Here is a 22,952-nt window from a genome sequence, read left to right as displayed (position 1 = left end):
TTAATACCTAGGTGATGGGTTGATAGGTGCAGCAAACCACCATGGCACACGTTTATCTATGTAACAAACCTGCACATCCTGCACATGTACCCCAGAACTTAAAATAAAATAAAGAAATCTCTCCTTCCCACCTTTTCCCCCCCATCACCCCATGCAAACAATTGGTCTACTTTGTCACTGTGAGTTAGTTAGCATTTTCTAAAATTTTATATAAATGGACTCATACACCATGCACTCTTTTTGACTGGCTTATTTCATTCAGCATAATGATTTTGAGATTCATCCATTTTGATGAGTGTAGCATTAGTTTGTTCATTTTCATTGCTGAATCATATTCTATTGTATTGTATTCTATTGGGTGGACACACCACATTTGTGTATCCATTCACCTGCTGATGGACATTTGGGTTATCCTTTGGGTTATCCCAAGGATGCTAAGATTTTCCTTATTTTTTTTAGAAGTTTTCTGATGTTAGCTCTTACATTTCAGTCCTATGATTCAGTGGCGTAAGGTATGAGCTGAAGTTCACGTTTTTGCATAAGGCTATCCAACCATTTCAGCACCATTTTTTGAAAATAACATTTTTTCCCTAATTGCCTTGGCATCTTTGTCAAAAAATCAATTGGCTGTACATGTATGGGTGTATTTTTGGACTCTATTCTATTCCTTTGATTTTTTTATATATATATATGTATATATGTGTATATATATTTATATATATATATGTGTGTGTGTGTGTGTGTGTATATATATATATATATATATATATATTTTTTTTTTTTTTTTTTTTTTTTTTTTTGAGACAGAATCTCGCTCTATCACCCAGGCTGAAGTGCAGTGGCTTGATCTCAGCTCACTGCAACCTCTGCCTCCAGGGTCAAGCGATTCTCATGCCTCAGCCACCTGAGTAACTGGGACTACAGGCATGTGCCAAAAAAATGCCCAGCTAATTTTTGTATTTTTAGTAGAGACGAGGTTTCAGCATGTTGGCTAGGCTGGCCTCAAACTCCTGGCCTCTAATGATCCACCCACCTCGGCCTCCCACCACGCCCAGCTGATGTATAGCTTTACATATGTACCAATCCACATTGATAATACATCTTTACACCAACATCACACTGTTTTGATCATATTAACTTTCTGAAAAGCCTTAAAATCAAGTAGCTTAAGACTTTCAACTTAGTTCATTTTCAAAATTATTTTGGCTATACTAAGTCTTTTGTATTTTCATATACATTTTAGTTTCAGTTTGTAAATTTCTAACAACAACAAAAAAAAATCTTAGCTAGACACAGTGGTGAGCACCTGTAGTCCCAGCTACTCAAGAGTCTGAGGTGGAAGGAACGCTTGAGGCTAGCAGTTCAAGACTGGCCTGGCTAGCATAGACCTAGTCTCTAAATAAATAAATAAATTATAAATGAATAAATAAAATAAGAATTAAAAATTTTGCTGGGCTTTAAATTAGGACTGGGTTGAACCATCGGTCAATTTTAGAAGAACTGACATTTTAATGATATTGAATCCTCTGATCCATAAGCATGGCTTATCTCTTCATTTGTTTAGGTTTTCTTTTAAGTTCTCTCAGCTGTATTTTGTAGTTTTCACTGTACATATCTTGCATGACTTTCACTAGACTTATCTCTACATAATTCATATTTTTTGATGCAACAGTAAATGGTATGTTTTAAGTCATTTCATGGTTGTTCATTGACAGTATTTAGAAATGACATTGATTTTGATATATTGATCTTGTATTATATAACCTTGCTAAATTCACTTTTATAAATTCTTATAACTTTTTTGTAGATTAAGATTTTCTCACAGGCAATCATGTTGTTTGCCATTAAAGATAGTTTTATTTCTTCCTTTTATATCAGTATACCTTTTATTTGTATTTCTTCCCTTTTGCTAGGACCTCCAGAAAAAAAAAGTTAAGTGGAAGTAGTGAGTGTGCATATCCTGCTCGTTTCTAATCTTAGTAGAAAAGAATTCAGTCTTTTCATGATTATGATGTTAGCTGGATGTTTTTCATAGATGCCCTTAGTCACATTGAAAAAGTCCCCACTAGCGCCTCTGCCCGGCCGCCCCTACTGGGAAGTGAGAAGCCCCTCTGCCCGGCCACCACCCCGTCTGGGAGTTGTGCCCAACAGCTCATTGAGAACGGGACGGGATGACAATGGCGGTTTTGTGGAATAGAAAGAGGGGAAAGGTGGGGAAAAGATTGAGAAATCGGATGGTTGCCGTGTCTGTGTAGAAAGAGGTAGACGTGGGAGACTTTTCATTTTGTTCTGTACTAAGAAAAATTCTTCTGCCTTGGGATCCTGTTGATCTGTGACCTTACCCCCAACACTGTGCTATCTGAAACATGTGCTGTATCCACTCAGGGTTGAATGGATTAAGGGCGGTGCAAGATGTGCTTTGTTAAACAGATGCTTGAAGGCAGCATGCTCCTTAAGAGTCATCACCACTCCCTAATCTCAAGTACCCAGGGACACAAACACTGCGGAAGGCCGCAGGGTCCTCTGCCTAGGAAAACCAGAGACCTTTGTTCACTTGTTTATCTGCTGACCTTCCCTCCACTATTGTCCTATGACCCTGCCAAATCCCCCTCTGCGAGAAACACCCAAGAATGATCAATTTAAAAAAAAAAAAAATTTAAAAAAAAAATCCTATTTCTGTATAAAGCTATCCTTCCTCTGACTAGAAACAACTAGGAAATAAAGAGAAGACAAAGATAAAAAGGAAAAAAAAAAAAAAAAAAGAAAAAGTCCCTACTATTCCTGGTTTTGCGGGGGGGGGGGGGGTTGATCATGATTGGATGTTTAATTTTGACAGAAGGTTTTTTGATGTTCATATGGTTTTCCTTTTTTAATATTTTAGTGTGGTAAAGTAATAATTGATTTTTCAGTGTTAAACCTTGCATTCTTGGGGATAAACTCTATTTCATTATGATGTCTTATCTGCTGCTAATCCCCATTCAGTGTATTTTTCATCTGAAACATTATTCTTTCATCACCAAAATTTTGATTTGGGTCTTTTGTCTTCCATTTCCCTCTTCATCATGCTCATGCTTTCCTCTCCCTTCTATAGCATATAGGGGATACTTATAAAGGCCATTAATGTCTTTGTCTACTAATTTAGTCATTTTTGTCATTCCTGGGTCTGCTCTTATTGGCTGCATTTCCTCCCGGCCATAAGCCACATTTTCTGCTTCTTTGCCATTTTTGGTTAGGAGACAGACATTGTGAACTTTACCTTTTGGGTTCTGTTGTTGTTTGTTTGTTTGCCATAATACAGTCCTTTAAATATTTTCAACTTTGTTCTGAGACTCAGCTAAACAAGTTGGAAATGGTTTTGTCCATTTGAGGCTTGTTTTTCAGCTTTCCCAGGTGAGTCCAGAACAGTCTAGTTTGGTTTGGCCCATCCATCTCAAGGCTCTACTTTGTAGTCCATGTGCTAGGAGACCTTTCCATTCTGACTACTAAGAGCTGGTGTAAGCTCTGAAGATCGTTCCCTCTGCTTCTTTCTGGAGGTTCTTTTTCTGGCCATAGCAATTTTCTCACTTGCATTAGCTGATTTAGACTCAGCTAGACTGTGGGAGAACCTCTTGCAGAGTCAGAGCATTCACTTTATTCAGCCGACTCCTTTCCAGCAATCTGTCCTGTGTGTTCTAGCCACTGGCCTCCCCAAACTCTACACTTTGTCTCTTCAACCCAGAGAGGCCATCAGCACCTCTTTGATTCTCCTGCCCAGGGCTGCAGCCTGGGGCACTTGGAGGGCTGCCCAGCCTTGAACCGGGGCACTTGGAGGGCTCATCTCATCTGCTTCCTTCACTCAAGGATCATGGTCCTTTATTGCCTATGGTCCCATGTTTGGAAACTCTTGCTTTGAATATTTTGTCCTGGTTTCTATTTGGTTGAGGCAAGAAGTGGAAGTTCTGTCCTTGTTTTTCTGTTTTGTTTTGTTTTGCTTTTAGAGACAGGGTTTCACTCTATCACCTAAACTGGAATGCAGTGGTGCAATCATGGCTCATTACAGTCTCACTCTCCTGGGCTCAAGGAATCCTTTCGTCTCAGCCTCTATCTCACATCTGTAGCTTGGACTACAGGTGTGCCACCACACCTGGCTATTTTTTTTTTTTTTTTTTTTTTGGAGAGATAGAATCTCGCTATGCTGCCCAGGCTGGTCTTAAACTCCTGCCTCAAGCAATCCTCCCACCTCAGCCTCCCAAAGTGTTAGGATTACAGGCATGAACCACTATGCCCAGCCTGTCTTTGTTCTTGAGAAGGTATTTGACAATTACTCATAGAAGGTGAAGAGTTAGTGTTGCTAGGATATCTACAGAGTAAACAACATTTACCTTAACCCACATGTAGGGGAGACTGGAAAGGAGCTGCACTAAGCTTGGCAGGCATTCACCATGAACTGTACTATTGATGTCTTACCTACCAGAGATGTCTTCTAAACACTGAAAAGCACAGAGGGCTCATGTTGGACTATTAAATCCCATTGGAGCCTTAAAACAAGCTCCAGGGCTAGGGCGTGTGTTTTCTCCTAATGAAAGTGAATCTTCCTTTCATAAAGTCATCCTGAAGGAAGTTGATTCCAAAGCAAGAAGTAAGAACTAGAGGTCAGGCGTGGAGGCCCATGCCTGTAATCCCAGCACTTTGGGAGGCTGAGGCGGGCAGATCATGAGGTCAGGAGTTCGAGACCAGCCGGACCAACATGGTGAAACCCCGTCTCTACTAAAAGATACAAAAAAATTAGCCGGGCATGGTGGCAGGTGCCTGTAACCACAGATCCTCGGGAGGCTGGGGCAGGAGAATCACTTGAACCCGGGAAGTGGAGGTTGCAGTGAGCCAAGATCATGCCATTGCACTCCAGCCTGGGCGACAGGATGAGACTCCATAAAAAAAAAAAAAAAATACAAAATTAGCTGGGCGTGGTGGCATGCACCTGTAATCCCAGCTACTCAGGAGACTGAGGCAGGAGAATCACTTGAACCTGGGAGGCAGAGGTTGCAGTGAGCCGAGATCGCACCATTGCACTCCAGCCTGGGCCCAGAGCGAGACTCCGTCTCAAAAAAAAAAAAAAAAAAGAACTAGAGAGAAGACGGCGTGGTAACTCACGCCTGTAATTCCAGCAGTTTGGGAGGCGGAGGTGGGTGGATCACCCGAGGTCAGGAGTTTGAGACCAGCCTGGTCAACATGGTGAAACCCCATCTCTACACAAAATACAAAAATTAGCCAGATGTGGTGGCAGGCACCTGTAATCCCAGCTACTCAAGAGGCAGAGGCAGGAGAATTGCTTGAACCCGGGAGGCAGAGGTTGCAGTGAGCCGAGATCATGCCACTGCACTCCAGCCTGGGTGACAGAGCAAGACTCCATCTCAAAAAAAGAAAAGAAAAGATAAAAAAGAACTAGAGAAAAAAGTCTTGGATTGAAGGGAGACAGAAGCATTTTACAATAGCAGGAAACTGCTGAGTTAGTCTCCATGTTTAACACCTGCATTCTCTGTTCTACCTGAACTCTCAGTTCTCTATGGTTCTGAGGAAAATTAAAGAAAGAACTCATTCCCTGGTAAAGTCAGTGGTGCTTTCCTTGCCAGTCTCTATTCCCACTGGCCCTGAAGGAGGATTGCATGCAGGTAATTCCAGCTGCAAGGGGACAACAGAGGAAGGCCCCTGGGTCTGGAAATTCAATGAAGAGGCTGAAGCCGGAGACCTTGTGCAGACATTTTCATGAGCCCTCATAAGGAAGCACCCCAGGGGCCATTTAGCAGTAACATGGAAACGCTTTGAGATGGCGAAGTTCCTAGACTCAACTGGATGGGATATGGAAGTGTGGTAATTAGTCTAGCTATTAATAGATGTGTTTCCTTATTTATCATCCCTGGATAATGGTTCCTAGACATATTGTTATACACATACACACAATTAAGTATCCTGGTCCAGATACTACTGGGAGTACACACTGATATCCTTTAGGTTAAGATCAGAATACCTCCCCGCCAGGGCCAAGTGCAGTGGCTCATTCCTGTAATTCTAGCATAATGGGAGGCCAAGGCAGGAGGATCACTTGAGGCCAGGAGTTCTAGACCAGCCTGGGCAGCATAGCGAGACCCTATCTCTATTTTAAAAATAATAAAATAAAAAACAAAAACACCTAAAATGCTTCTCTCAATTCACAACACACACAGAGATGTGCGAAGACAATGGTTTTCATCCGTAGCTGCATATTAGGAACACCTGGGAAGTGTGTGTGTGTGTTTGTTCGTTTGACTGAGTCTCGCTTTGTCACCCAGGCTGGAGTGCAATGGTGCGATCTTGGATCTCGGCTCACTGCAACCTCCGCCTCCCAGTTTCAAGTAATTCTCCTCAGCCTCCCAAGTAGCTGGGGTTACAGGCACCAGCCACAATGCCCAGCTAATTTTTTGTATTTTTGTAGAGACGGGGTTTCACCATGTTGCCCAGGCTGGTCTTGAACTCCTGACCTCAGGTGATCCACCCACCTTGGCCTCCCAAAGTGTTGGGATTACAGGTGTGAGCCACCGTGCCCAGCCTGGGAGTTTTTTTGTTTTTTTGTTTTTTTTTTTAAAGACCAATGATTGTGCCCACCCCCAGAAACTCTACTTCAAATTGGCCTGGTGGATAGCTCAGATATCTGCATTTTCAGAAGTTTTCAAGTAATTCTAATGGCCAAGTAGGATGAAGAACCACTGCTCTAGGCCTTTGAGGCAGGTGCTGCTGAGCTGTGCAAAGCCATCCATGTCATCTGGCTGTGGATAGTGGAACTGCTGGTCTCCTTCCTCTTCATTTCCTCTCTTCCTCTTCCAGGGTCCATTGCAGGCTGCCTGGTGACCACTGCTCCTCTCACGCAAACCCTCTCTCCTCCCCTTTCCTATTTGTTCTCATTTATCTCTTCTATTAGACTATTTCACCTTTTAGCTCTATGGGCTAAAAGACTAACCCTACATAGCCAAGGATGGCCAATCAGAGAGCTGCTTTCCTTCTAGTTGGTAGCCTGGCCAACCACAACACGTTGGCTGTGAAATTCAGAGCCTTACCCCTGCCAGCTGGTCTTCAGAAGGTAACCACCTTATTCCAGGTTGCCCAGGACTTTCCTGGTTCAGTATTAAAAGTCCTGTATCCTGCAAACTCCCTCACACCCCACTCCCCCATCCCCCATTTCCCGGCAAATGGGATGTTTGGTCTCCCTAACCCTGTGTATTAGTCCATTTTCACACTGCTATAAAGACACTACCTGAGACTAGGTAATTTATAAACAAAAGAGGTTTAATTGACTCACAGTTCTGCATGGCTGGAGAGGCCTCAGGAAACTTCCATTCATGGCGGAACTCAAAGGGGAAGCAGGAACCTTCTTCATAATGCACCAGGAAAGAGAGAGCAAAAGAGCGAGGAAGTGCCATACTTAAAACCATCAACTCTCACGAGATCTCTGTCACTATCATGAGAGCATGGGGGAAGCCATCGTCATGATCCAATCACCTCCCACCAGGTCACTCCCCTGACATATGGGGATTACAGTTCAAGATGAGATTTGGGTGGGGACACGGAGCCAAACCATATCACCCTGGCTGTCAACGTATAACTTCTTTCGTTCCAATAGCTGTCTTTGAGCGCATTCAAGGTGTAAGTCCATCTGAGTACTTGAGCATGGAAGTGGCAGTTTCCCAGATGACCTAAGATTTGCCATGCTCATTATCAAATCTTTATTCCATTCCAAATCTAAATTTCCATGGTTTATTTTAAATGGTAAAATGTTCATGTTCTGAGGCAGTAAACGTGTCAGAATCAAATACACACATAGAGTAGCATATGTTTGCCTGAGGCAAATAAAATGAGATTTTGTAACTGTTAGTCTTAGTATGGGAAGCATACTTTTAAAATGAGGACTATTCTTTTTTGTGCAGGATTTGGTACAAATCATAAAGAAATATATAAAGAATAACAATGTGTGTACACTTTACATTTGAAAAACGTTATTCACCCACAACTAGCAAAGCACACACTCTGAGCTGATTTTGCAGTGCTGGCAACAGACTTGATGCCCCATCCACATTCCCCCATCAAGCCCCACGTGGGGCCAAGGAAAGGAATCTGGAGCAGAGAATGCTGGGGTGGGGGCGCAGAGCGATGCTCACGGATTCACACAAGTCTAGAAGTGGCAGCATGCAGGCAGCGTAGGCCTCTGAAGGACACTAGGAAAGAGAAATTCCACCATCTGTGAGTCATCACTTTTTATTACTGTGTCCCTGGACATTTTTTTATAAATGCATATACTCCCCATAGGGATATGCATCTTTGTATGAATGGGATTATCAGCTCATGTGCCTCTTAACAAGAGAAATAAGCAGCGTGAAAGCTCTGGATCTAAAAGAGGGAAAATTATAGGGAGGGAGGGGAAAGAGGTACAGCATGATATTAAATTAAGGGCAAAATATATAGTTGAAAGACTTGGGAGAGAAGATATTGATTGGGATATATTATATCATTCAGGGTCCAGTCTGGAAAAATTAAGAATTTTAAACAGAGAGAACTTAATTCAGGAATGGAAGATCAAAGGAGCCAAACAGAATTTGAGGTGGAAACTCAGAAATCAGGAACTGCAGGAAGCCATAGACCTTCTTGGCTGGAGAGACAAAGGGTGAACACCTGGGCACCTGGAGCCCCTGACAGAAGCTGGAATTGTGGTGGGCTTGTCTGGCAGGAGCCAAAGCCGCATAGGAGACTGAGTCACAGCTACAGACATCAGCCAAAGCTGAGATGGGGGAAGAGAGGGAAAGAACTGGCCTCACTCTCCTGCCTTGCAAACTCAACCATGCCTCTCATTGGCTGGACCCAGGCAGAGCTGGGGAGACAGATGCAGAATAGGGAGTTGGCAAAAAGTGGATCTGAGAGCAAGCAAGCCCAAGACTGGCAGACACCACACACAGCTATTTCACTGCTTCACGACTTATTCAAGGGCTGACTGCCTTGCCAGCAGCATGCTCTGAGCGCTGGAGTGCTCCAGCTCTAGACTTCAAAATACAATCTTACACTCCCAACTCTGTTTTCCCAAACTAGAAATAAGTTTATGGTCTCTGTGATCCAGACCATTAAGAGGTCAATTCATTGAATTCCCACCAGTTATGGTGGTGACGGTAGAAACAAAGGTGGCTAAGATTCAAGAGCCTCTGAGAGTTCCCCAATTTATTTTATTTTTATTTATTTATTTATTTATTTTTGAGATGGAGTCTCGCTCTGTCAGCCAGGCTGGAGTGCAATGGCACGATCTCAGCTCATTGCAACCTCTGCCTCCCGGGTTCAAGCAATTCTCCTGCCTCAGCCTCCCAAGTAGCTGGGATTACAGGCACACACCACCATGACTGGCTAATTTTTGTATTTTTAATAGAGACAGGGTTTCACCATGTTGGCCAGGCTGGTCTTGAACTTCCAACCTCAGGTGATCCGCCCGCCTCAGCCTCCCAAAGTGCTGAGATTACAGGTTTGAGCCACCCACTCAGCTATTTCAGTAAGAATAGCCTGCTGCCTTCACTTGGCAAATGTATGCTTACCCTGCTAGACTCAGCTTGGTCATCTTCTCCTCCATAGAGGCTTTCCTGAGCTCCCCGCCTGAATTTAGTGTCCTCTCCAGGGCTACAATTGCATTATCTCTAGGTTAGCATTCATCTCACTATTTAGGAATTACCTGTTTACATGCCTGTCTTTGACAATACTCTGTAACTTCCCAGGACTGCCTCCTAGAGGTGCTCTTGCTTCTGGCACTGGTGTCCATGGGACACCACTGCAGTTCTCTGCTCCTGGAAGCTCAGTGTGTCTTGGCCACTCTCCACTACTATTTCCAGCTGCTTCCTCATGGTTTTCTCCACAAATTGAAGTCATGAGCAGGTATGTTTAAAAGCAGAATCTAGGTCAGATGCCAACGTTACTCAGGAAGCAGGCTACTGAGTTCTGGTTTTTACTTTAGGAAGGAAGTACTCATAACCTGGGACTCAATGTGGAAGGATTTACAAAACCTACTGGGCAAAGGAGTGTTCATACCAGCATTATTTGTGCTATCTGCAAATTGGAAACTACCCAAATGCCCGTCAACATTAGAACAGATATATCAATCAATTCTGGCATATTTTAACACAATGGAATAACATTCACCAATGAAATGAATGAAGTCCAACTACAGGAAACAGGATGGATGGATCTCACAAACATTATGCTGAGAGTAAAAGCCCAACACCAAAGTGTCTGCAGTATATGATTCCATTTAAATAAGACTAAAGAGTAGGCAAAACTAATATATGGTGACAGAATTCAGAATAGCAGTTAGCCTTGTGGAATTACTATCTGCAAGGGTGTTCTAGAGAGCCTTCTAGGGTGTTGGCAGTTTTCTAGATAGTGATCTAGGTTCACAGTTGTTTTCACTGTATATAAATTCAATGAGCTATGTGCTTATGATGTGTGTACTTTTCTGTAGGCGTGTCATATTTTAATTAAAGAGTTTACTGAAAAATATGTTCTGGGAAGCTACATAAATGATAAATATAACCAACTGTCATGTTGTCATCCTCTCTGGTAAGTAACTGAGCAAATGGATCATTTTGTTCACATCCATCCCCTGGTCAAAACCTTCAGTTGTTCTGAAGGACAATAAACTTTTTTTTTTTTTGAGACGGAGTCTCACTCTTGTTATCCAGGAGCGCAGTGGCGTGATCTCAGCTCACTGCAACCTCCACATCCTGGGTTCAAGCTTCTCCTGCCTCAGCCTCCTGAGTAGCTGCAATTACAGGTGCCTGCCACCACACCCGGCTAATTTTTGTACTTTTAGTAGAGACGGGGTATCACCATGTTGGTCAGTCTGGTCTTGAACTCCTGACTTCAGGTGATCCACTCGCTTCAGCTTCCCAAAGTGCTGCGATTACAGGTGTGAGCCACTGCGCCTGGCCTGAAAGACAGTAAACTTTAAACTGCTATGCAAGAGTTTACAGTCCAGCCTCAATCCCTGTGTTCCAGCCTCTCTAGCACTTGCCTGCCCTGACCCCTGGTGTAGGCTCTGCTCTCACCTGAAAAGCCCCTGAACCTGAGAAAATTCCCCACCTCCAACTCCTACTGCAGTTAGGATAGGAGAGGTCAGATGTACTTGACAACCCCCTTTGTATTGCAAGTGACAGTTCTTGAAATACAACTTAACTTTTTTGGATTATTAACTTTTGTGTATTTATGTTTTATCTCACCAACCAGACTGTGGGCTTTTGGAAGAGTGATCATAGCCTACTCATCTATTTTCCCTGCAGGGTGCTGCACAGGGTCTGGTCCAGGGAGACAGTCTGGTATCTCTTAGACACATGGATTCAGGCAGGAGTCTCATGTTTGTTCCAAGCTTTGAGTTCAAATCCCACTTCTGCCACTTGCAAGTTGTGATTTAAGGGAGTTACTCAACTGTTGAAGAATATTGCACTTTTCTGAAAGGATAGTCAATGATCACTTACATATGCTTAGCCCAGCATACTAAGCACACCATGCATGTTAGCAATAGTTAATATTTTTGTTCTTGTTTTTAACTCGAGTGCTTTTTAAAATTTACCAGGAACTGTGGGTCTCAGACCCTAACGAGGATGAGGAGCCTGACTTTGGACATGGGAGAAAAGGAACTTTGCTAGAGGAAGGTTGATGGGAGAGGAAATATGGCTTGAATGAGTCCATGTTCTTACATTTCCAGGCCCTGTATTAAGCAATATTATAAATCTGACCCTGCCTATCACCTCTCAGAATTTATGTGGTAACCCAACTGCTCAAACAGTATTATAATTTGCAGGGTTCGGCTTACTTTAGGTGTGTTTTTTTGTTTGTTTGTTCGAGATGGAGTTTCCCTCTTGTCGCCCAGGCTGGAGTGCAGTGGCGCGATCTTGGCTCACTGCAACTGCCGCCTCCTGGGTTCAAGTGATACTCCTGCCCCAGCCTCCCGAGTAGCTGGGATTACAAGCACCTGCCACCACGCCTGGCTAATTTTTCTATTTTTCACTAGAGACAGGTTTTTGCCGTGTTGGCCAGGCTTGTCTCCAACTCCTGACCTCAGCTGATCCACCCGCCTTGGCCTCCCAAAGTGCTGGGACTAGAGGCGTGAGCCACCGTGCCTGGCCTAATTTACGTTTTTAATTTTCACTAAGCTTAGCTGTGGCCCATTTATAGCAGCATAAAAATTGAAAGGCTTTTTTAAAATTTTTATTTTAGCATAGGAGAAATGCCACCATTTAAGCCATTTTTGAAAAAATGATTGATTGATGGATATAATTCTATTGTTAGCAGAATAGAGTATATCATTTGAACTGAAGATCCCAAACTAGAGTGAGTTCTGGAATGTCAGGTTAGCCGGCAGATGGAGGGCCAGAGGACAGGAGACACAAAATCTTTGAGATACGTCTTTTTATTCAAGTAGCAATTTATGACTTTTTGGCCTTTGTAAAAAGTTCTTATATAATGATACTGAATTGCATGTCATTTTCCCATTTTGGGTTGGGGTACTATTTGTGATAAAGAGGTTGTAAAGATTTTAGGAAACTCACGGTCTGCTGTATGATCCATGATGGTGCCTAGTTGTTGCAGTAACAATCCACAGAGTTAGCTACAGTGTGGCTGTACTTCACTTTTCCCAAAGCCTGAATGTGCCTGTCTTCTAGATGCGTCAGTTTCCATGCCTAAGCTTAAGTGTCACAGCCAGTGTGGGGGGGATGAAGTGCATTCTCAGTATCCAAGGGAATGTGCCAATAACTAGGCAAAGGAATGTTCTGAGGATAGAGGATCTGAGCAGAACCTCCCCTGGCCCTGACCACAGCACTTTCTCTCAATTCAACACTCTATGGATATTTGAGCTCATCTCTAGGGTCTCTGGGCTTATTAAAATAGGTCTTAGCCAAACACTGTCATGTGCACCTGTAGTCCTATCCTCAGGAGCCTGAGATGGGAGGATCTCTTGAGCCCAGGAGTTCAGGTCTATAGCATGTAATGATCAAGCCTATGGATAGTCACTGCACTCCAGCCTGGGCAACACGGTGAGACCCCATCTGGTGGGGGAAAAAAAAAAGGTTTTAAGAGAATAAAGATAAATACCAATTTTACAAAGTTTGTCATATAGTAAATTAGGCCCCAAATTAACACAGCCAACTAGATAATTAAAATTGCTAACCTCATCTTTGTTCATTTGAATGGGGCCCTAAAGATAGCATTCCTGACATGTTATTCAGGAAAGTAATGCATAGAACTTTGACAGTGATGTGGGGGCAGAATTGATGCAGAGATGTACCTTTGGAAGGCAAGCCTGTATAAGACACTTCAGTAAGGGCTTGGAAAGCAAAAAGCAAAATAGAGAAGCTCCCCAGCAAATGTTATCTGAGCAAAGCCAAGCCACAGTGCAGCTGCCTAACACTCAAAAGATAGCATATTTGAAGCAGTATTGTTTTATATAAATGCCAGGGGTAGTCATGGTACTAGTATGCTTAATATCAATCTCAGACACTAAAATCAAACAGACAGGATTCATATCCTGGCTCTGCCATTCATCAAAAAACCTTAGGCAACACTATAAGCTAGCCCCCTCAAAATCCAATGGAAATGTGTCTATTGATTTCCATGTCTGTATGTAGGGATGATGATGATGATGACGACGACAATGATGATGATAGTAATAATGACACTGACCTTATGAGGTTGTTGAAAGGATTAACGCATATAGATTTTTCATACATTGCTAGATACATAGTATTTTTTCATTAGTGAGCTATCTACTCACAATCCCTGATTGTGATTATTCTACTCACAGTCCCTGAGCTTAGCCAAAATGCCAAGAAATTCAGCAGGAATCTCAATTTTTTTTTTTTTTTTTTTTTTTTTTGAGACAGAGTCTCACCTCATGGCCCAGGCTGGAGTGCAATGGTGCGATCTCGGCTCACTGCAACCTCCACCTCCTGGGTTCAAGTGATTCTCCTGCCTCAGCCTCTCCAGTAGCTGGAATTACAGGCATGCGCCACCACGCCTGGCTAATTTTTTGTATCTTTAGTAAAGACGGGGTTTCACCATGTTGGCCAGGCTGGTCGCGAACTCCTGACCTCATGATCCGCCTGCCTTGGCCTCCCAAAGTGCTAGGATTACAGGCGTGAGCCACCGAGCCCAGCCTGTCTCAATTATTTATTAACAAGCTCATTTTTTTGATCAATGGTCAGCTATTGCCACCCTCATTCTTTTATTTGTCACCAAGTTAATGGTAATGTACAATAAAGCATTTCCTGTGAGATAGAGTCATTCAGATTTCCTATACTGGGGACAAGCTCAATTTCCTGAAAAGGACCATCTGGCATTGCCTCAGGCTGTCCTTTGGAGCCAGAAACATTGCCTGGCAGTTGGCACCTGGAGTATGTTTCATTTTCTCTTGTAGAATTCAATAATCATATTTCGTTCAAATTACAGTTCTGCTCTCCTTTAGTGCTGGAATAAAAATGCACACTCATTTTATAGAATGTGGTCTCTATGTAGCATCAATCTCTAGGTCTTGGCCTAGTCTAGAAATTCTGTGATGTTTTATTAAGAAGGCAATGAGGACCACAGAAATTAGAAAGGAAGCCTCAGAAATCAGTATGCTGCAGGCTGTTACGGGAAATAACTTCAGAAGAGTCAAGCCTGAGAGCTTTTATATCATATTGCATATACATTTTCATTTACTTTTATTTGCCTTTGTTTGCATGAGTTGTGTGAAGTTAACTGTCAATGAGTTTACTTATGTGACTCTCATGTTGTAGATGCTGATATCTACCGCTGTGATTGTTATTTATGACAAAATTAGCTCCCATGGGCAAACCTAGCAGGTTTTCACTCACAGACTATATCTATGTTTGTGTTATTTTAATCTCAAATACAAATTGGCAAGCACTTTAATTGTGGAAGAGAACGAGGAAGCTGGATTATAGATTGCCTTCATGGAAAACAAAATATCCTGGGGATACTTTAAACCTTATTTTTTAATAGCATCTGAGGAAAAACTGGAAGTCACCTGTTTGGTTTGAATGTAAATATCCCTTTAAAATTCATATGTTAGAACTTAAACCCCAAGGTGATGGTATTAGAAGGTAGGGCCTTGGGGAGAGGATTAGGTCATGGGGGCCCCGCCCTCACGAATGGAATTCATGCTAGTCTTTTTTGTCCTTCAATTCCTTCCACCAGATGAGGACACAGCATTCCTCCTTTCCAGAGGATGCAACAAGGCACCATCTTGAAAGCAGAGAGTAGCCCTCACCAGACACCAAATCTGCCAGCACCTTGATATTGGACTTACCTGTCTCCAGAAGTGTGAGAAATAAATTTCTATTGTTTAAAAATTACCCAGTCTCAGGTATTTTGTTATATCAGAGGAGGAATGGACTAAGACATGCCCCACCTCTCCACCCAAGACGAGCCCCAGGGCTCCACTCTTGACTCTGTTAATATTGTATTTGGGGGTTAAAGAGTTGAATTTTACTCTTGATCTTCTGCTTTTATTTCCAGTGTCATTACTGTAGTTATTCAGGTTATTACAGGAATAAACTGAAAGATCACAGGAACATTTAAAGTATATTCACTTGTCTTACTGGTGAGGAATATGCTCTTTTTTTAAAAAATAAAAATTATTATTGAAATCGCTTTGTAATCAAGATTCAGAAAAAACGATACTTGTGCAGGGTTGCACAGCAGGGGCCTTCAGTGTGTTTAGAAAGGGGAAGTTTTCGTCATTAGGGTTGGCACAATTGAGACACCGGGAAATTTTGGATTTCCAGTCATTGAGTAGACTATATTAATAATTTTGCTTATAACATAGTAACACTATCCCTTGAGCATTTTTCATTCTAAATTGTTATGATAGTCAAGAAAAGAAATGTTTGTCTGTTTGTTTTTGTTTAGGGTCTTGCTCTGTTACCTAGGCTAGAGTGTATTAGTGCCATCATGACTCACTGCAACCTCAACCTCCAGGGCTCACCTCAACCTCCAGGGCTCAAGCGCCCTCCACCACACCTGGCTAATTTTTGTACTTTTTGCAGAGACGGGGTTCCACCATGTTGCCCAGGTTTGTCTCAAACTCCTGGGCTCAAGCAATCCACCTGCCTTAGCCTCCCAAAGTGCTGGGATTACAGTGTGAGCCACTGAGCCTGGCTCTGAAAAAATAAAAAACAAAAACTATTTTTAAAAGTTTTTTTGGCGGGCACGGTGGCTCACACCTGTAATCCCAGCACTTTGGGAGGCTGAGGCAGGTGGATCACCTAAGGTCAGGAGTTTGAGACCAGCCTGGTCAACACAGCAAAACCCCATCTTTACTAAAAATACAAAAATTAGCCGGTCTGATGGTACGCACCTGTTATCCCAGCTACTCAGGGGGGCTGAGGCAGGAGAATTGCTTGAACCAGAGAGGCGCAGGTTGCAGTGAGCTGAGATCCCGCCACTGCACTCCAGCCTGGGCAACAGAGCGAGATTCCGTCTCAAAAAAAAAAAAAGTTTTTTATCAAAGGCACTTCTCTGGTCACCTTTGACCTGACCCCAAGGGAAACAGCTAGACTTCTCCTGGGTTACACCTAGCTCCATCTGTGGCACATTCTAAGCCCATCCTAAAGAGCCATTGACCACTGAGGCCTGGACCATTGGAATATGCCTGTTAGAGTAACTGATGGGGCCATGCTTGGAAAAGGGAATAATACAATAACACTACCCTGTGTTTTTAGTAAGCTTTAATTTCAAAAATATCAAAATGTGGCCATATGTCATCTTGCAGGAATGACATTTAGGAAGTCATTTAGACGCTGGTTCTCAAAACATTATAAAAAGCTTCACTGGTCCTCTGTGAAATGACAAAAGGACAATGTAATTTTGTAGTACAATTTCAGTGTTAAAATTAAGAGGGCCCCCTTTATGCTGAAATTTTGGCCTTTCCTATTTTAGGAATTAAAATATTCTTTTTCTATGAAATGATAGTGATTGTAGATAGTGGTGTTTTAAAAAATATTCTTAGCAAAATAAAGAATCAACAATCTATCTAATCCAAGTTCTACTCTACTCCCCAAACCCCATTAAAAAGCAACTTCGATCCATTGATCCAAGCTACACTGTATCCAAGTAAGCCTGGGTGTGCTGTCTTCTGCACTGCATTTATGAATCCTGCACACGCAGGAGCCATATGTCACTCATCCTTGACTGTGCTTTGATTTCCTGACAGGGTTTGGCACTTTGAATGCAGTAGGTGCTCAATAAACACTTGTTCATTGACTCCGAAGCAGCTGTCATTCATAATGAAAATATCTCCAGGGGACATCAAAGGCACTCTATATTTCATGGGAACAAATCATTTTGAGATTTGGTGATAACAGTGAAACAGAGCGGCAGGCCTGGGTGGATTCCTGGTTTTGTCATTTTCCCAGGAATCTCTTGAGTTTTTAATACCTTGGTTTCTTCACCCTTAAAATGTAGAGTACATACTTTGCTTCTCCATAGACTCAGTTGTGAGGATCAGATGTGTGTGCAGAGGAGCACTCTTTGTATACCTAACACTCCATTTTTTTCCACCCCAGGCTCCTCATCATATGTCCCAGGATAGGATTCTGGGGCTGCCTCCTGGCTGTAAGGCTGAGTCATAAAGATGGTACCTGGGGTCAGCTTCCGCTTTCTCCTCTGCAGCAGAAGCCTGAATGTAGTTGGAGCTTGAGAGAGTCAGCCAAGCATAGATTAGACTAATAGCTAGCATGTATTAAGCCCTCCCTATGCACCAGACATTCTTCTGAGCACTCTCACACAAGAACCCTGGAGGTAGTTGCCATGATTGTCACTCTTTATATCAGAGGATAAAACTGAAGCATAGCCAGAAAGAGGAGGAGCCAAACGTGAACCCTGGCAGCCTGGGAGGAGCCCACAGTCTCAGCCACCCCATCGTAACTGCCTTTCCAGGTGGAGGAACAGGAGGTAGACAAGCTGTAACACAGCCTCCCTGGATCTGCTCTTGTCCTTCTCAGTCACACAAGCCAATAGATCCCCACTTTTGAAAGCAAGTTGTTATCCACAGGTCAGCTCTCAGGATTACAGAAGGTCAGAACGGTAAGGAGGGTGCGGAATGTGTGCTCCATCTTCTCAGGAGGATGAGGAAACAGGACCCTGACTTATACAAAGGCACGTATTCCTGCCATCTCTGCAGCCTCAGCCCCACTTCTGCCTCCCACAATGCTTCTGCACATCCTTACCTAACACATCTGGCCATTCCTGCTCTCATGCCATTGCTCAGCTCCATTTGAATTCTGCCACGTGTCCAATCCCATGTCTTCCGTGAAACCTTTGCTCATTCCATCAGCCCACAGCTTTCTCTCTTTCCTCTGGGTCACCATAGCAGGTTCTATACCAGTCAACTCTATTCGGAGGCTGCCTACTGGAATCTTTAATGTTGATATTTAACTGTGAACTCTGTTTAACTCATGTGCCTCATCCTTGATGCCTATCTTGAATAAGTTCCTTAAGGGTGGGACATTCTGTTTCACTTCCTTTTATGATTCTCAAAGCAGCTAGCACCAGCCCTTTACATACAATTAATGTGTGTGTGTGTGTGGGTGGGTGGGGTGGGGGTGGGAGTTGACCCTTACTCTGTTGTTATTCATCTTTCTCTCACATGTACTGCCTATCAGCTCGGTCTAAGAAAGTCAATAGTCTCCTTCCCTTATTCACCTTCTGGCAGAGTAGCTCCAACACCTTTCCCAAGCCTGATCCAACCCTGTGTCTGGTGATACTCAAGCCTCAGTCAGGAGTGGAAAAAAACCCAGGCACTGGACAACTCATAACAGATAAGCTGCTGTTTGGGAACTTGATATTCCCTCTATGCAAACTGGACCAATGCACAACCTAGATATGTCACTGTAAATCTCTGTTGAATAAACAGCTCCAATATCATCAAAGTCACATCTTTACTTCTTTTCTTTATAACACAGTTGTCATGAACATCATGAGAAAGATGTAGAGGAAAACTGAAGGCTCTGACCATTTGGAAGCATTAAACATAGGAAAAGGTAGTGACCAGAATCCAAAATGTCAAATGAAATTCGGTATCAAGCCATATAAGTAACTGAACAAAATATTTGGTCTTTCTCAGTCAGAAAAAAAAAAAAGCTCCTTTTTTTTCCATCTACTTGTTAGGTGCTCTATTGAGTGCTTTGAACCTCATAACAAAGTAACATTTGTTCTGTTTTACAGAGTAGGAAACTGACACCCATTGAGGCTGGGTGACCAATGCAGGATAATACAAATGGGGAGAGAAAGAGGTCATAAGCACATTTAGCAGAGACTGAAAACACTATCTGACACCCAATTTTTAAAATAACAAAAACTAGATCAGATCATCAGGAGTATGTGGATGTTTACTCTGTTGTGCCTTATATGAACTTGTCTTAATGCAAATCTCAGCAAAGATTCTTTCATCATAAAAAGCCAATAGACCCCATTCTAAAATGGAAATATCTAATTATAAAAGTACTAATTATAAAAGTAGATTTTCAGTATTTTTCCCACAATTAAAAACACCAAAAAGTAGATGTTCATTGTAAAAAAAAAAAACCACAAAAATAGTACCATAAATAAAATAGAATGAAAATCACAAGTAATCTACCTAGGAATAATGGGTTAATTATGAAGGGTTTATAAAAATCTAAATTCCTCTGCACTGTGGTAGTTCTACAGTGATCTTTCAGAAATGGTAACTGTGAATGACAGGCCAGTTTGCCAATATCGTTTTATTTTAGTTTCATTGATTTTTGAGGAAGAGGGATTAAGGTCAAAGTATTGGCAAATTCACATGAATCTATTGCAATCATCAGTCTAAACTGCTTTGTGCAACTAAACTGACAGCTTCTCCTTTTGTACCCAGGAAACTCAGTGTTCAAAATAATATCATTGTGTTGATCAGATAATCAAAAGAAATGGGACACTTCAGGGCATGGAGGATGACTATAAATGTTAGTGCAAGGTGGAAAATGCTGTCTTTCTAAACCCAGTGAAACTGTCCTAGTCTCCAGATAAAGACAGATTTTATTTCTTATATAGAGAGCAGATTCCTGCTGAATGTTGAGGGTCTGAGAAGCAAATAAAAGGTCAAGCATACATGCTTTCTATTTATGCTACTGGCTGACTGCATCTATAATCCAAACCAATGTACAATAGGGGGGATGCATTTGAAGACTCCCAGTGGATGCTTGAAACTGCAGATAGTACTAAATCCTATATATACTGTTTTTTCCTATTCATGCATACTTATGATAAATTTTAATTTGTAAATTAGGCACAGTAAGAAATTAACAACAACAATAATAAAATAGAGCAATTATAACAATATCCTGTAATAAAGGTTATATCGATGTAGTCTCTCTCTCTCTCTCTCTCTCTCTCTCTCTCTCTCTCAAAATAGCTTATTGTACTGTACTGCCAGTAACTAAAACCATGGAAAGTGAAACAGCAGATAAGAGGGGATGACTGTATTACTTACATATTTTCAAAGGCAGTTTTTACCTCTCATAACATACTATTCTAAGGAATTGCGACAAAACATGAATTTAGAGCCAATGTTTACAATTTAAAAGAATATAATCTTCTAAGCACTGAAAAAAAGACATACACCAGAATTATTACAGAAATTGAAAGAGGCTTTACAATTTTTGAAAAAAGACATACATCAGAATTATTAAAGAAATGGAAAGAGGCCTCACAGTTATTTTGCCTGGATTAAGAAGGCTAAGAGGTGACAAAAACTGCCTTTGAGATATAAAAGGTTATTATGAGGAATTGTGGTGAACCTACTTATTTACCAATTGCAAACCATTGTTATTTAAATGCCATTTATAATGTCTCTAAACTTGAATGTGTAACTGAAAAAGGAATATAACCCCATTAAGTCCATAATAGATGTATTTGGTCCAATGGTTCATATCAAAAAGATTGAGTGTATTTTAGCTTAAGGAGTCTACCATGAATCACCTCCATAGCATAAACTATCAGGTATGGTCTGAGGTGCCCACCATAAATAACAAAAACATTCTTGTCCCCTGGGAAATTCCAAGGGTTTCAATGCTACCTCCCAGGAGCTAGAGACAAAAGCCAGCCAAATTCTTTATCACACAAAATTATATATCAGATAAGGGTCTAGTGTCCAGAATGTATAAAGAACACTTAAACCGAACAAAAAAAGACCATCCAATTAAAAAGTGAGCAAGGGATTTGAATAGACATTTTTCAAAAGAAGTTATACAAATGGCCAATAAGCACAAGAAAAGATACTCAGCATCGTTTGTTATTAGGAAATTCAAATCAAACCTACAATGAGATACTACTTCACACCATTATGATGATTATAATAATTTTTTAAAAAAAACAGAAAATAAGTGTACGCAAGGATGTGGATTGGAACCCTCAAGCAATGCTGGTAGAAATATAAAATGATGCAGTCACTTCTTTAGTGAAGTGTCTGTTCTGGTTTTTACCTAAATTTTCTTTTATGGATCATGGTTTGATGCCATATCTAAAGTCTCTTGGCTCAACCCAAGAGAACTTTCTCCTGTATTTTCTTCTAATAATTGTATAATGTTTTATATTTAGGCCTACGATCCACTTTGGGTCAGTTCTTATATGAAGTGTGAATGAAGTATGTGTGGAAGTACTTTTTTTTTTGGCAAGTGGATATCCAATTTTTACAGAACTAATTGTTGAAAATACTATCTTTTCCCTATTAAATTGCCTTTGCACCTTAGTCTAAAATGAATTGACTACAGTTGTGTTGCATCCATTTTTGGGCTTTCTTTTCTGTTCCACTGATCTATATGTCTACTCTTTTGCCAGTAACATGCTGTCTTGACTACTATGGTTTTATAGAAAGTCTTCAAATCAGAGTTTTTCAGTTTTGTTCTTCTGTTTTCAAATTTGTTTTGGCTATTCTAGTTCCTTTGCCTTTTCATGTAAATTTTAGAATCAGCCTTTCATTTCTACAAAAATACCTGGTACGATTTTAGTTAGGGTTGTATTGAATCTATAGGTTAATTTGGGGAAGAAATGATATCTTAATAAGATTAAGTCTTTCAATACATGAGCACAATATCTTTCCATTTACGCAGGTCTCTTGACTTCTTTCATCAATGTTTAATAGTTTCAGTATAAAATATTCAACACCTATTTGGTTAGATTTTTACCTAAGTATTTTATTTTTAGTGGTAAATGGTGCTGTCCTCTGATTCGGATTTCTATTTTTTAATACAAAAACTGTGGCTGACCCTATAATCCTAACACTTTGGGAGGATCGCTTGAGGCCAAAAGTTCAAGACCAGCCCTGGCAACATAATAAGACTCCGTGTCTACAAAATATTTAAAAATTAGCCAGATGTGGTGGTGCATGCCTGTAGTCCTAGCTACTCAGGAGGCTGAGATGGGAGGATCACTTGAGCCTGGGAGTTTGAGGCTCCAGTGGGCTATGATTGTGCCACTGCATTCCAGCCTGACCAAGAGAGTGAGACCCTGTATCAAACAAAAAAGTATAAAATTTTATACAATTGATTTTTGTATATTGACCTTGTATCCCACAACTTGCAAAACTGACGTCAATTAGTTCTAGGGCTTTTTTTTTTTTTTTTTTTTTTGGTAGATTCCTTTGGGTTTTCTATAGACAACAATGTCATCTGTGAACAGAAACTATTTAATTTCTTCCTTTCCAATCTGTACCCCTTTTCTTTTTCTTGCCTTCTTGCTTTGGTTAAGATTTCCAGTATGATATTGTATAGAAGTGGTGAGAAAAGATTTCCTTGCCTTGCACTTCATCTTAGGGGGAAAGTATTCAGTTTTTTATAATTAAGAATATTGGCCAGGTATGGTGGCTCACACCTGTAATCCCAGAACTTTGGAAGGCTGAGATA

This window comes from Homo sapiens, chromosome 5, assembly GCF_000001405.40.
Source record: "Homo sapiens chromosome 5, GRCh38.p14 Primary Assembly".
NCBI classification, from domain to species: domain Eukaryota; kingdom Metazoa; phylum Chordata; class Mammalia; order Primates; family Hominidae; genus Homo; species Homo sapiens.
Note: the sequence above shows the minus strand (reverse complement) of the source record.